Consider the following 13,921-nt stretch of genomic DNA (forward strand, 5'->3'; position numbering starts at 1 on the left):
TGTTAACCATTGCTGTGCTGGGTTTGTTGATTTGTTTTTCTTCAATAAATTATTTTCTAGTCACTCACCTGGGCGTGTGTGTTAGCTGACGGGTCGGGCACAGATAGGGGGCGGGAATGGAACTCGCCCACCTCGAGGCTGGGGAGGGAGGACCGGAGTGCAGGGAAGACGGACTTTGCTTCCACCCAGCTCGCCCCTCTCTGCTCTGAGTCCCGTCTTCTTCCTGGGCCAGTGGCCAGCTCTGAGCCTCCACAATCCACACAACTCCACCACCCACACAAGTCCACCACCCACAGGGAATGGTAAGAATCAGAAAGAGGCCAGGCGCGGTGGCTCACACCTGTAATCCCAGCACTTTGGGAGGCCAAGGCAGGCGGATCACGAGGTCAGGAGATCAAGACCATCCTGGCTAACACGGTGAAACCCCGTCTCTACTAAAAAATACAAAAAATTAGCCAGGCATGGTGGTGGGCGCCTGTATTCCCAGCTACTCAGGAGGCTGAGGCAGGAGAATGCTGTGAACCCGGAAGGTGGAGCTTGCAGTGAGCCGAGATCGCGCCACTGCACTCCAGCCTGGGCGACAGAGTGAGACTCCGTCTCAAAAAAAAAAAAAAAAAAAGAATCAGAAAGAAAAGCTTGGCGCCTTAGAAGGAAAAGCTTGGCGCCTTTGAGTCAACCAAGCCCCAAGATGCACACCTTGTCAGGACCTGCTTCTGTGACATCACTGCTCATTGCTTTCTGGAGTCTAAAGTGAACGGAGGCCCCAGTGAATGAAGGTGTATTTGAATGGGAGAAACCAGGGCTTCCCGATAGAGGAAGAAGCTAGATGGTACAAGAACTGGAATTTATAAACTTTCTTGGGAGGGGCCAGCTGTCAGGCAGCGGGGGAGCCACAGCTTTTAATAAGCAACTTTTGAGAGCAATGAAGCTTTACCCACATTATCTTACCCCAGCATGAAGAAGGAAAGTTTTCCCTGCAAATACCCGGCTGGACCACTAGAGGTCAGTGTTTTGATTTTAAAAACCGGGAAGGAATATTCCATCACAAAAAAAGTGTAGGGAAAGAGGGAGCCTGAATTAGCGCTGGGGTCAGATGGACCCTGGTTTATTAGAAAAAGAAAAGCATGTGGAGTCCTTGTCTTTAGAGGAAGGCCCCCTGCATGCTGGTTGACTTGCAGCAGAACTGGCTGGAGCTTCTTCTTCCCAGGAAGGACATCTTCCTGATATGCCAGCGTGACTCCTTTGGGCTCGAAGATGCCTCTTCATCAGATGGGTCTAGGGATTCAGATGCTACGTCACTGCTGAACCCTGGTCCCCTCCGCAGAGGGCAATGACTGCTCCTCTGGGGGCAAGGATAGCTGCTCCTCCCCGGGCACCAGCAGCCACTCCATGGATGATGATGACTGCTTCTCCGCGGGCCACAGCTCCACCTCCATAGGCTGCTCGCTCGTGGACGTGGACGATTCTTCCAGACTTGGTGGCAGAGTCTCCACCTGAGATTTGTGGGTCTTGTCTGGAAGTGGCACCGTCCCCTCCTTGGGGGTGTGAGGCTCCTTTTGCCAGCTCTTCCGGAACGGTGTGGAGGGCTTCAAAAATGCTGACTTCTCCTCCGAGGAGTCTGGCTGGCTCTCCAACGTCAGCTGGCCTGAAAGAAATGACTGGCTCCCCAGAGGCTGTGGCTGGCTCTCAAATGACGACAGCTGGCTTTCTCTGTGCAACAGTGATTTCTCCTGAAAAGAATGTGACCTCTCCTTGGTCAACAGCAACTTCTCAGGAGAAGGTGGCCTCTGCTTGGGTGACAATGACCTCTCCTGTGCCCTTGGCAATTGCTCTTGGAAAGACTCAGATAGCCTGTTGCTGCTGGTGAGCACATATTTGGGGAGGGCAGGTTGGTTTTCTGGATGAAGAGCGGATTGTCTATCCATAGAAAATGATGAGCTAGGTGTAGGGGGGAGCTGTACTTCCTGGGAGGACACCTGCCCCTGTGGCTGGTGCTTCTTCTTCCCCAGGAAGGACATCTTCCTGAGGTGTCACTGTGACTCTTTTGGGCTCGAAGCTGCCTCTTCATCAGATGGGTCTAGGGATTCAGATGCTATGTCACTGCTGACCCCTGGTCCCCTCCGCAGAATTGTGCCCTGAGTGATGAGGTTTGCATATCCCTCACGGTGGGAGAAAGCATAGCTGGAACGGCGGGCACGAGACTCCCGGTGTACATGAGGCAAGGGCTCCATGGTGAAAATCTCCTCGCTGGGGCCCTCCTCCACCTTCTCCTCCTGAAGAGCAAAGGGGAGAGCAGGGGAAGCAGACTCCTATGCTTGGCTGATGGCTCTCAGGTCCCCCAAGTAGGAGAGGCAGGATTCAAAGCCCTTGGCCACTATTGATTGGCTACGTTCTTCCCTACCCAAGTTGAGCCAATTAGAGTCCTCGACTCTCAGTGTTGAGTTCTAAGGAGGACTCTAGTCCTTTGCTTTTCAAGACCCACTAATTGGCCTTGCCCTGGAAACTAACCCTGGATCAGCCAATCAGAGTTATTCCCTGGGACTTAACTCGGGACCACCCAATCAGAGTCCTTCCCTGGGACTTAACCCTGGCTCAGCCAATCAGAGTCCTTCCCCGACTCTGGACCAGCCACCAGGTGCCTTGGCTGCCCTTTGGTGGCAAATCCAGGAGAGGTGAGCCTGGGACAGCCAGGTGCCCAGCCTGTGCAGTAAAGGTGGCAGGAGCTGGGCAGGGAGAACAGAGGTGGCAGGGCAGGTACACCATTCCAGTCAATTCTGGGGCCCATCTCAGCTGCAACTTGCTTTTCCATGCATGCTTTGGTTACGTGGGCTAGTAAGTCCCCTCCCTTTTTTTTGAGGTGGGGTCTTGCTCTGTTGCCCAGATAGGAGTGCAGTGGCAAAAATCATAGCTCACTGCAGCCTCAACCTCCCAGGCTCAAGCAAGCCACCTGCTTCAGCCTCTCAAAGTGCTGGGATTACAGGTGTGAACCGCTGCGCCTGGCCTTGAGCACATGTCCTCAAGGTGCATCCACGCTGTGGCCTGTGTCAGAGCCTCACTCCTTCTCACGGCTCAGGCGTGTTTCATTGCACAGATGGAGCGTGCCGTGTTGACCCACTCATCTGTCAACAGACTCTTATTTCTAAGTTCCTCCTTTTGCCTAAACCATTTCAAGGTTGTTTCCGTCATCTCAACCCCCAAGCTCTAGATCATTCACGGTAGAATCTGATGGTGTCAGCCAGGCACAGTGTGGCTCATGCCTGAAATCCCAACATGTTATGAGGCCAAGGCAGGAGGATTGCGTGAGCCCAGGAGTTTGAACCAGCCTGGGCACCATAATGAGTCTCCATCTCTAGAAAATAACTACAAAATTAGCTGGGCGTGGTGGTACATGCCCGTGGTCTCAGCTACTTGGAAAGCTGAGGTGGGAGGATCCTTTGAGCCCGGAAGGTCGAGGCTGCAGTGAGCCGAGATTGTGCCACTGCACTCCAGCCTGGGTGACAGCACAAGACCCTTCTCAAAAAGTAAAAATAAATAAATAAATAAAACCTTAAGAGCCCGATGGCATCAGCACTGGAATCCAGGGCGGCGTTTGGGTGCTCTCTGCTGCTTTGTCGGGGGAGTGAGGTCTCCCTTCTTGGGAAATCGGGCCCCGGGGGCACTGGGCGTGTGTCCGGGGCTCCGCACCCACCCTTCCCCCAAGCCTAGTGTCTTGGAGGGCCGAGAGGGGCCGGGACACCTTGCAGTCCCTACGCCCTGCACGGCTCCCCAACCAGGGTCCTGGAATGTACCAGATGAGGACCCCAGGCCCAGGCCCACCTCACCTTGGCACGTAGCTCCTTGAGGGCTGGGAAGATGACTCGGAGGGCCAGGACAGGGAAGGTGTTTATGGACACACTCAGCAGGACCACCAGCAGGATGGAGGGAGAGGACATCACGCTGAGGTCGGCATCTGGGGACAGGGCGGGGTCACAGCAGAGCCTACCCCCAGCTCCAAGGATGCCCCCAGGCTAGGGAGCGCCTTGGTGCCTTTGTGCCTGGTCCATAAAGGAGCGCCTTCCCCAGGACACTTTGCCGGACGACTGTCATGAGCAACCTGCAACCTCTTCCATCGGGGCTCCCCTGCACCACGACCGCCCGTCCCACTTCCCCATGGGGGCTCACACAGAAACGGGAAGGTCGTGGGGGATACTCTGAAGAGCCAGAAGCTCTGGGTGGTGGTAGTCATGATGGCGTAGAAACCAAGGCTGAGGAGGATGGTCGCCACGCACAGGGCGGTCCAGTACTTGATGATAAGAATGACCTGGACAGGCAGCGGTGGGGTAAATCCGGGGCCTAGCGGGGCTTGCACCAGGACACCAGCCCCTGGGGTCCAGGAAGGGCACCTGGCAATGCCCCCAAAGCAGGGGTCCCCAGGGGAGGAGGCCTCCATAGGCCATGTCCAAGGCCCCGGGGAGGTGAGGACCTTGCCCACCTCCATGGTGATGGACAGCAGGCAAGACAGGGCCACCACGACCGCAAAGGACTGGTGGTCGCTGAAGCTGGCGGGTCCCGCCGTGTCGCGGCTGATCCACAGTGTCATGAAGAAGTTGACCAGAGAGGTGGTCACACCATGGGCGATGGCTTGGACGAAGACCCAGTAGTTGAAGAGCTCGTCCTTCTGCCCCACCACGTACAGCTCCGGCTTCTCCAGGCTCTGCTCTGCGCTCACGTCCTTGGGGCAAGCAGAAGCTCTTGGGATTGGGTGGGGGGCGGGGGACACCCAACAGAGATCAGGATCTCCTCGGGCAGGCCAGTAGGGTGGCCACTCTCTGTGTGTGGCTCTTTGAGTTTAAGTGAGTTAAAATAAAGTAAGGCCAGGCACGGTGGCACACGCCTGTAATCTCAGCACTTTAGGAGGTCAAGGTGGGAGGATCGCTTAAGGCCAGGAGTTTGAGACCAGCCTGGACAACATAGTGAAACCCCCCATCTCCAAAAAAACCTTTTAAAGGAGCTGGGTGTGGTGGTGCGCACCTGTAATCCCATCTACTTGGGCGGCTGAGGCAGGAGGATCATTTGAGCCCAGGAGTGGAGGCTGCAGTGAGCTGTGATCGCACCACTGCACTCCAGCCTGGGTGAGAGAATGGGACCTCGTCTACAGAATAAAATAAAATGAAATGGAAAGAGCTCTGGAGGTTGGTCACTTGGCCACACGAACGCACTAGGTGATGCTGGGCTGTGCGCATGAGTCTGGCTGAGACGGGGCAGTTTACGTGATTTGTATTCCACCACAGTTAAAGATACCAGCAAGGCCAGGTGCGGTGGCTCACGCCTGTAATCCCAGCACTTGGGGAGGCCGAGGTGGGAGGATCACCTGAGGTCAGGAGTTCAAGACCAGCCTGGCCAACATGGCGAAATCCTGTCTCTACTAAAAATAAAAAAATTAGCCGGGCATGGTGGTGCACGCCTGTAATCCCAGCTACTCAGGAGGCTGAGGCAGGAGAATCGCTTGAACCCGGGAGGCAGAGGTTGCAGTGAGCTGAGATTGTGCCACTGCACTCCAGCCTGGGCGACAGAGCGAGACCCTGTCTCAAAAAAAAAAAAAAAAAGATTCTAGCAAACATGAAATGAGATGTAAAATCCAGTCCCTGGGTCACACCAGCCGCAACACAAGCGTTCCTCATGGGCACGTATGGCTGCTGGCTTCTGTGTTGGATTGCATAGCTGTGGGACACTTCCATCATCTGGAACGTTCCATGTGACCCACCCTCCCAACCCCAGATCACGTAGCCAGGGCCTCTTGGAGCTGGGGGATGATAAACCTAGCAGAGTCATCTGCTCTGATCCTCTCTCCCCATTGCATGGATGGGTAGACAGAGGCACGGGGGCTCCAGCACAGGGTGGGGGCTCCCACACACAGGAGGAGCTGGATGGCCCCGGGATGAGCGTAGGCTCCGGTGGGAGAAGGTCAATGGCAGTGGGCAGGGAGAGGTACTGGACTGCACCCCCTGAGCCCCACCCCATGGCCTGAAGGTCTCCCAGGCTCCCTCTCCCCGCCCCAAGGAGCGGAGGAGAGGAGGAGAGGCTAAGCAGAGACCTGGAAGGAAGACCCGGCCTTGCCCTGCTCACCTGCTCAAAGAGCCCAATGTAGAGAACTGGCAGGGTGCTGTACAGGAGGTTGAAAAGAGCCAGGAACCATCCTTCATACAGGGGCTGAGCCGGGGGAGAAGGGCAAGGAGAACAAGTCAGCCTCCAGGCACCCAAGGAGCCTGCCAAGCAGGCACCCAGGGAGGGTTCTGGGTGAGGTAACTCTGGTCGAGTTACACTCAAGGTTGGGGCTGGGACTGGGGTGGGGTGAAGTGCGGCCTGATAAAGGCGGCAAGATAAAGGGAGGGAGGAAAGCATGATCAAATTCCCTCATAATGGCACCTCTGAGTTTTTGTTTTAATTGGATGGCATCAAAAAAGGATACAGGCTGGGCACGGTGGCTCACGCCTATAATCTCAGCACTTTGGAAGGCCGAGGCGGGCAGATCACTTGAGGTCAGGAGTTTGATACTAGCCTGGCCAACACGGTGAAACCCCGTCTCTACTAAAAATATAAAAAGTAGCTGGGCGTGGTAGCAGGCGCCTGTAATCCCAGCTACTTGGGAGGCTGAGACAGGAGAATCGCTTGAACCCAGGAGACGGAGGTTGCAGTGAGCCGAGATCACACTATTGCACTCCAGCCTGGGCAACAAGTGTGAAACTCTGTCTAAAAAAAAAAAAAAAAAAAAAAAAAAAAAAAAACGCTGGGTGCGATTGCTCATGCCTGTAATCCCAGCACTTTGGGAGGCTGAGATGGGCAGATCACGAGGTCAGGAGTTCGAGACCAGCCTGGCCAACATGGCAAAACCCTGTCTCTACTAAAAATATAAAAATTAGCCAGGCATGGTGGCAGGTGTCTGTAATCTCAGCCACTAGAGGGGCTGAGGCAGGAGGATCACTTGAACCCGGGAGGCAGAGGTTGCAGTGAGCCAAGATCATGCCACTGCACGACAGCCTGGGCAACAGAGTGAGACTCTGTCTCAAAAGGTAATAATAATAAAAATAAAACAGAAACCAATATATACTTACTAAGGGGTTTCTGTAAAGCTCCCTCTCAAATGCCCAGGTATTAGTGATGGGAGCTCATTCCTTCTCCAAGGCACCTGCTTCCCAGCAGTTTCCCTACACGCAGGGAATAGCACTGCCCTGGGGCTCCTCTAGTCCTTGTCAGGATACCGCTCAGAGTCTGGACCAGAGCCCCAGCTCCCACAATCGGATCTTCTCTGGGGTTCAAGGTCTTGTTCACTCAACTCTCCCCAGAAGAGGAGGTCCATGTGCAGTGCCTGCCCTTGCTTGAAAGCTCTGAGTGTGCCGGGCACGGTGGCTCACGCTGTAATCCCAGCACTTTGGGAGGCCAAAGTGAGCAGGTCACCTGAGGTCAGGAGTTCGAGACCAGCCTGGCCAACATGGTGAAACCCTGTCTCTGCTAAAAATACAAAAATTAGCCAGGCGTGATGGTACACGCCTGTAATCCCAGCTACTTGGGAGGTGGAGGCAAGAGAATCACTTGAACCCGGGAGGCGGAGGCTGCAGTGAGCCGAGATCGTGCCATTGCACTCCAGCCTGGGTGACAGAGTGAGACTCTGTCTCAAAACAAAACAAAACGAAACAAATATCCTGGAAGGTGTTGGGCACAGAGCTAGACAGGGACCGTCACCTCCCTTCACCTGGACTCTAGGCCTCCACTAACGCAGCCTTGCCATGTGGCCTCAGGCAAGCCCTGTCCACCGAGGATCCCAGGGTTCTCAGTGCGTCCAGGGCTGCTCCTGGCAGCTATGGGAGGGGCAGGGCATCCCCAGAGGCCCTGGTCATGGGGCAGCCAGGGTGGGGGACGCACCTGGCCGGTGAAGCCGTTGTAGCAGGCAAACCAGACCTGCACCATCATGCTGGCCATGCTCTTGTAGAAGAAGTAGCGCAGGAACTTGCAGATCCGCACGTAGGACCAGCGGCCGTGCACCAGCAGGAGGCGCTGCAGGAAGCAGAACTGGCCGAGCACGAAGTCGCTGTTCTGAACTGCCTGCATGCCCTCCTGGCCCGCCAGCCCCACGCCCACGTCCGCGGCTGCAGGGCACAAGCAGCTGGTCAGCCCCCCGCACGCCCCCAGTCCCGCCCGCCCCCCCAGACCCCCGCACTGTTCTGCCCCCTATCAGCCCCCCCCATCTGCTTCAGGTCCCCCCAGTCCCACCGCCGCCTCCATCAGCGCCCCCCTCACCTGCCCCAGGTCCCCCCAGTCCCACCACCGCCTCCGTCAGCCGCCCCCCACTCGTCCCAGGCACCCCCAGCCCCGCCGCCGCCACCCACTCTTGATCATGTTGATGTCGTTGGCACCGTCCCCGATGGCCAGGGTCACCACCTGGTGGTACTTCTTGACCAGGGCCACGATCAGGGCCTTCTGCTTGGGCGTCACGCGGCAGCAGATGACCGCCTGGCACTTGGACGCCAGGTCCACGAAGGCGCGCTCCTGCAGCACCTCGGAGCTACGGCGGGCTCTGGAGTCCTGGGCTGGCGGTGCAGCCAGCGGGAGCCCGAACCTCCGGCACAGCAGGGACAGGCGCCTGGCGTAGAGGAAATCCCTCCTGGACTGGCCGAGCTCCTGCCACGCCTCGTCCATGTTCACGTTCTGCGCCAGGGCGCGCGGCTCCTTCCGCAGGGACACCAGCAGTTTGTCCTGGCCGGCGGGGAGGGGGCTGTGCCAGGCGCCGTGGCCTCCAGGCCAGACTGGACCCTACCCGGCCCTCGGCCTCGCCAGCAGTCCCCACCCCGAGCCCGCCGCCCCTCCAGGCCCCTCCCTGGCGCCGGGACCCCGCCGTCCACCCTGAGCGACACTGACCAGGAAGTCTCCGTTAATGACCAAGGCCAGCTTGACCTGCGACAGGGACTCCCTGGTTAGAAGGTTGTTACTGTTTTCCCAGTAGGTCTCCAGGATGCGGCTGCGGGGCGCAGGGGTCAGCGGGGCAGGGGAGGGGGCGGGCTTCTCCCCACTTCCCCGGGGGCTCCACTGCCCCTCCCACCCCTTCCACTGCCCACTCCCCCACCCCTGCCCCTTCTCCTCCCCACTTCCCTCTTCCCCTCCCCTTTCCTCCTCCTCCCGCCGCTGCCCCTCCCCTTCCCCTCCACTGCCCACTCCCCCACCCCTGCCCCTCCCCCTTCCCTCTCTCCTCCCCTCTGCCTCCTCTCTCCTCCCCTCCCCCTCCACCGCCCACTCCCCTCCGCTGCTCCCCCCTCCCCTCCCTCTCCCCTCCCCCTCCCTCCACTGCCCCTCCCCTCCTCCCCACTGCCCCCATCCTTCCCCTCCACTGCCCACTCCCTCACCCCTGCACCTCCCCCTCCCCTCCCTTCCCTCTCCCCTCCCCTCTCCCCTCCCCTCCCTTCCCTCTCCCCTACCCTCTCCCTCCACTGCCCACTTCGCCACCCCTGCCCCTCCCCCTGCCCTCACCTTCCCTCCCTCTTCCCCCTCCCTCCTCTGCTCCTCCCCCTCCTCTGCCTCTCCCCTTCTCCCTCCACTGCCCCTCCCCCTTCCCTCCAAGCTCCCTCCACTCCCCATTACCACACTCCTTCCTCCTACCCTTCCCTCCCCTCTCAATCCCCCCCTTCCCACTGTGCCTTGGGCTCCCCGTCCAGTGAGACACGCACCTGGGTGCTCCTTGTCCTCACCTCCCCACTCCCCTTGCTCACCCCCCAACTCCCCACTTCTTACCTAATCTCCTTCTCCTCCAGAATGAGCATATTCTCTGACAGCAGCTCGCAGGCGAAGCCGATGTTCACAGCCGTTTCTGCGAAGCAGACCAGCTCAGCGCCTCTGCGACCCGCCCCGCACTGGCTGCCTGGGGGCCACGCCCACTCTGCCCGGTGAATCCTGGCCCGACCAATGGCAGCCACATGCCCCACCCCCTGGCCATGGTGATTGGTTCAGAGAAGGGCTTGTAACCCAGGCTCACCAATGAGAGCCAGCCCTGAGATTTTGGCTGTAGTTCTGGCCGGGACTGGGCTGCCCAGAGATGTGTCTGAGGCCAGGATCAGCAGGCACATGTGCCTAGGATCCACAGTGCCTTCAGGAACCCACAAAATGTCTCAATATCTTTTTAAATCAGAAGGGAAATAATTGAATATGTTTCCCTGGGCTGGCTCCTGGCCGACAGAGGGCACCCTGAAAATCACTTTTTTTTTTTTTGACAAGGGCTCACTCTGTCACCCAGGCTGGAGGGCAGTGGCGCAATCACGGCTCACTGCAGCCTCAACCTCCTGGGCATAAGCGAGCCTCCTGCCTCGTTTCTCTGGAGTAGCTGAGACCACAAGCATGTGCCACTGCGCTCCTCTGAGAGTTGCAGCATTTTTTTTTTTTTTTTGAGACAGAGTCTCGCTCTGTCGCCCAGGCTGGAGTGCAATGGTGCGATCTTGGCTCACTGCAACCTCTGCCTCCCAGGTTCAAGCGATTCTCCTGCCTCAGCCTCCTGAGTAGCTGGGATTACAGATGCGCACCACCACACCTGGCCAGGCCCATTTTTGTATTTTTAGCAGAGACGGGGTTTGACCATGTTGGCCCTGCTGGTCTCGAACTTCTGACCTCAAGTGATCCGCCCGCCTCGGCCTCCCAAAGTGCTGGGATGACAGGTGTGAGCCTTCAAACTTCAGGGAAGTTTGAAGACCCATGCTGCAGGGGCTTAGCCACCCGGAGCTGCCCGGGACTCACCCTGCTTGTCCCCGGTGAGCACCCATATTTTGATGTTGCTCTTCTTGAGACATTTGATGGTTTCAGGGACACCGTCCTGGAGTCTGTCCTCGATGGCTGTGGCTCCCAGCAGCTGGTGGGGGAGGAGGGCAGGGCGGGGAAGATGCTGAGCAGCCGTCCAGCTCCCTGGCGGGGGCAGGAGAGTCCCAGGGCCCCCTTGGGTGCCCCCGCTGCCCACCCACCCTGAGGTCCTGCTCCATCTCGTTGTACACCTGTTGCAGGGCCTGTGCCCGGTTCTGCAGCAGGAGGCTGGCCTCCTGGTGGCGCTGCTGCCAGTCCTCGTAAATGTCCTCAGCCACCTCCCTGTAGGCCAGGCACAGTGTCCGCAGGGTCTCCTGGGCAAAGGCCTGGGGGCCGGGCAGGTGGAAGCTGTCACCATGCTGAAGCCGACATCCGAGGCTCAGCCCTCCCCAACCCCCTGCCGGGCTCCGGAGCCTGGGTCCCCCAACCAAAAGCCTGTTGCCTCCCCAGCCAACAGCAGCCAGAAGGGATTCAGAAAACTGGTCTGAGGCCGGGTACGGTGGCTCACGCCTGCAATCCCAGCACTTTGGGAGGCTGAGGCAGGCGGATCATTTGAGGCCAGGAGTTTGAGACCAGGTTGGCCAACATGGTGAAACCCTGTCTCTACCCAAAATACAAAGATTAGCCAGGCATGGTGGTGGGTGCCTGTAGTCCCAGCTACTTGAGAGGCTGAGGCAGGAGAATTGCTTGAACTTGGGAGGCGGAGGTTGCAGCGAGCTGAGATCACACCACTGCACTCCAGCCTGGGCGACAAAGTGAGACTCCATCTCAAAAAAAAAAAAAAAAATAGAAAAAACAATAGAAAGAAAGCGGGGAAGAGGGCTGGGCGTGGTGGCTCACACCTGTAATCCCAGCACTTTGGGAGGCCGAGGCAGGCGGATCACTTGAGGCCAGGAGTTTGAGACCAGCTTAACCAATACGGTGAAACCGCGTCTCCACTCGAAACACATAAAAAATTAGCCAGGTGTGGTGGCGCATGCCTGGAATCCCAGCTACTCAGGAGGCTGAGGTGGGAGGATCCCTCGAACCTGGGAGGCCGAGGTTGCAGTGAGCTGAGATCGCCCTATCGCACTCCAGCCTGAGTATCAGAGCAAGATTCTGTTTCAAAAAAAAAAAAAAAGAAAAGAAAACTGAGCTGCCCCTGCTCCCCACCTACTCTGTCTCAGACACCTGCTCCCACCCCCAGACCCTCAGCTCTCTTTTGCCTCCAGACCTTCTTGGAGGACTGTTTCCCTGCCAGGAACACCTTCCCTATGCTTTGCACAGCAAATTCTTTTTTTTTTTTTTTCTCGGGGGTGGGGGATAGGGTCTCACTTTGTCACCCAGGCTGGAGTGCAGTGGCCCAATCATAGCTCACTGCAGCCTCGAACTCCTGGGCTCAAGTGATTCTCCTGTCTCTACCTTCCAAATAGCTGGGATCATAGGCACATGCCATCACACCCGGCTAATTTCTTTGTATATATATATATTTTTTAAATAGAGGTGGTTTCACCATGTTGCCTGGGCTGGTCTCGAACTCCAGAGCTCAAGCAAGCTGCACACCTGAGCCTCAAAACGCTGAGATTACAGGCAGAAGCCACCACACCTGGCCTGCATGGCGAATTCTGACTATCACTCAAGACCTTCTATGCAGTCCACCCACCCGGTGCCTTCCCCAGCTGGGGCTCCCCCAGTCCCAGGCCCCTCCCTCTGACCCCTCAACTTTGGCTCTCTGAGCCCCTTCCTTGGGCCCCTCATTTCTCAAGGGCCAGACCCAGGGTTGGGGCCTCTAGGGGCTGGGAGGAAACTGGGCAGGCCCAGAGAGCAGGCACCCCAAGGGTGGTCGGGGGGTCCCCAAGGAAGGTGCCCTTACGGCTTCTTACCCCCCGACCCTGCCCCCAGCTTTGTGCTCCAAGGGGTGGCCTTAGGTCTCAAATTTGTTTATTTATTTATTTTTATTTATTTATTTTTTGAGATGGAGTCTCACTCTGTTGCCCAGGCTGGAGTGTAGTGGCGCGATCTTGGCTCACTGCAAGCTCTGCCTCCCGGGTTCAAGCGATTCTCCTGCCTCAGCCTCCCGAGTAGCTGAGACTACAGGCCTGCACCACCACATCTGGCTGATTTTGTAGTTTTAGTAGAGACAGGGTTTCACCAGGTTGGTCAGGCTGGCCTCGAACTCCTGACCTCAAATGATCTGCCCGCCTCCCAAAGCACTGGGATTACAGGCGTGAGCCATCGCGCCAGCCTGTTTATTAAGAGACAGGGGTCTCGCCCTGTCGCCCAGGCTGGAGTGCAGTGGTGCGATCACAGCTTGCTGTAGCCTCCACCTCCTGCACTCAAGCGATCCTCCTGCCTCAGGCTCCCAAAGTGCTGGGACCACAGGCACGCGCCACCATGTCTGATTTCCCTTTTGTTGTTGATGGGGCACGGGTCCAAGAGCTTGGGCTTGACACAGCAGAGGAGCTTCACGGACATTGGCAGCCTCCGACAGGCCTTGACCCTTCTTCCGGCCTCAATTTACCCATCCATTCCCTGGGGTGGCTGAGCTAAGCTGACCTGCTGAGCTCCTGGGCTCTAGGTCATTATTGTGACCGCACTTCCAGTTCAGAGTGCCCCCACATCCTGGCAGAGCAGGGGACACAGGACATCTTCCCACACACACCCCGCTGCCCTGTGCTCCATGCTGCTGGGGCCCCAGCAGAACCTGTGAGGAGCCCCCAGGCTGGACGCAGAATCCTCTGGCCCTGTAGGGTCAGGGCTGGACCAGGGGGAGGCAGCCTGGGGTGATGACAGCCCCATGTTGGCAGGGGGTGGGGCAGGAAAGGCCCCATGTGTGGGGAGCTTGTGGCTGAGTCATGAGGACACCGAAAGCTTCTGAATGACAAAGGTGCAGGGAAGACCCTCCCAGCACAGGAAACAGCATGTGCAAAGGTGCCAAGGCAGCACCTGAGAGTGGGGAAGTCACAAGCCAGAAACTGGGTCCTAGGGAGTCCCTTGGTGAGGCCAAAGAGAGACCAGGCTGGAGAGGTCAGCAGGGGACAGAAAAAGCCTCAAATCCTGGGCCGAGGAGTTCGGGCTTCCCCCACAGAGTGGGAAGCTTTGGAGCAGACGGAGCTGAGTGTGTCCTGGC

General features: G+C 57.8%; 1 protein-coding gene across 3 annotated transcripts in view, besides 2 other annotated features; it reads right to left on the reverse strand.

Moving 5' to 3' along the window:
* Positions 1 to 1,077: 1,077 nt before the first annotated feature.
* Positions 1,078 to 13,921, reverse strand: part of ATP8B3 (ATPase phospholipid transporting 8B3) — a 30,202-nt gene continuing 17,358 nt past the window's right edge. The window contains exons 19-29 of one of the 3 annotated variants that reach the window (NR_047593.3): positions 10,974 to 11,138; positions 10,753 to 10,864; positions 9,760 to 9,835; positions 8,893 to 8,992; positions 8,364 to 8,617; positions 7,900 to 8,123; positions 6,106 to 6,189; positions 4,472 to 4,711; positions 4,162 to 4,300; positions 3,822 to 3,949; positions 1,078 to 2,273 (exon numbers count right to left, since the gene is read on the reverse strand). Coding sequence is in view for 2 of the 3 variants with exons in the window: in NM_001178002.3 (NP_001171473.1) it covers positions 2,031 to 2,273; positions 3,822 to 3,949; positions 4,162 to 4,300; positions 4,472 to 4,711; positions 6,106 to 6,189; positions 7,900 to 8,123; positions 8,364 to 8,730; positions 8,893 to 8,992; positions 9,760 to 9,835; positions 10,753 to 10,864; positions 10,974 to 11,138 (1,878 nt within the window). In the remaining variant the exon portion in view is untranslated. Of the gene's footprint in view, positions 2,274 to 3,821; positions 3,950 to 4,161; positions 4,301 to 4,471; positions 4,712 to 6,105; positions 6,190 to 7,899; positions 8,124 to 8,363; positions 8,731 to 8,892; positions 8,993 to 9,759; positions 9,836 to 10,752; positions 10,865 to 10,973; positions 11,139 to 13,921 lie in introns of all 3 variants that reach the window. The other 2 variants (NM_138813.4, NM_001178002.3) reach the window with 2 other exon arrangements.
* Positions 7,908 to 7,957: an enhancer, noted in NCBI's record as "active region_13625". NCBI's record gives its function as "activates an Ori minimal core promoter by ATAC-STARR-seq in GM12878 lymphoblastoid cells {active_cell/tissue: GM12878}" and the evidence as "EXISTENCE:reporter gene assay evidence [ECO:0000049][PMID:35858748]".
* Positions 8,299 to 9,121: an enhancer, noted in NCBI's record as "H3K27ac-H3K4me1 hESC enhancer chr19:1789295-1790117 (GRCh37/hg19 assembly coordinates)". NCBI's record gives its function as "activates a minimal SCP1, AML or CMV promoter by ChIP-STARR-seq in naive H9 embryonic stem cells {active_cell/tissue: H9 hESC(naive)}" and the evidence as "EXISTENCE:reporter gene assay evidence [ECO:0000049][PMID:30033119]".

The sequence above is a fragment of the Homo sapiens genome, chromosome 19 (genome assembly GCF_000001405.40).
Source record: "Homo sapiens chromosome 19, GRCh38.p14 Primary Assembly".
Classification (NCBI taxonomy): Eukaryota; Metazoa; Chordata; class Mammalia; order Primates; family Hominidae; genus Homo; species Homo sapiens.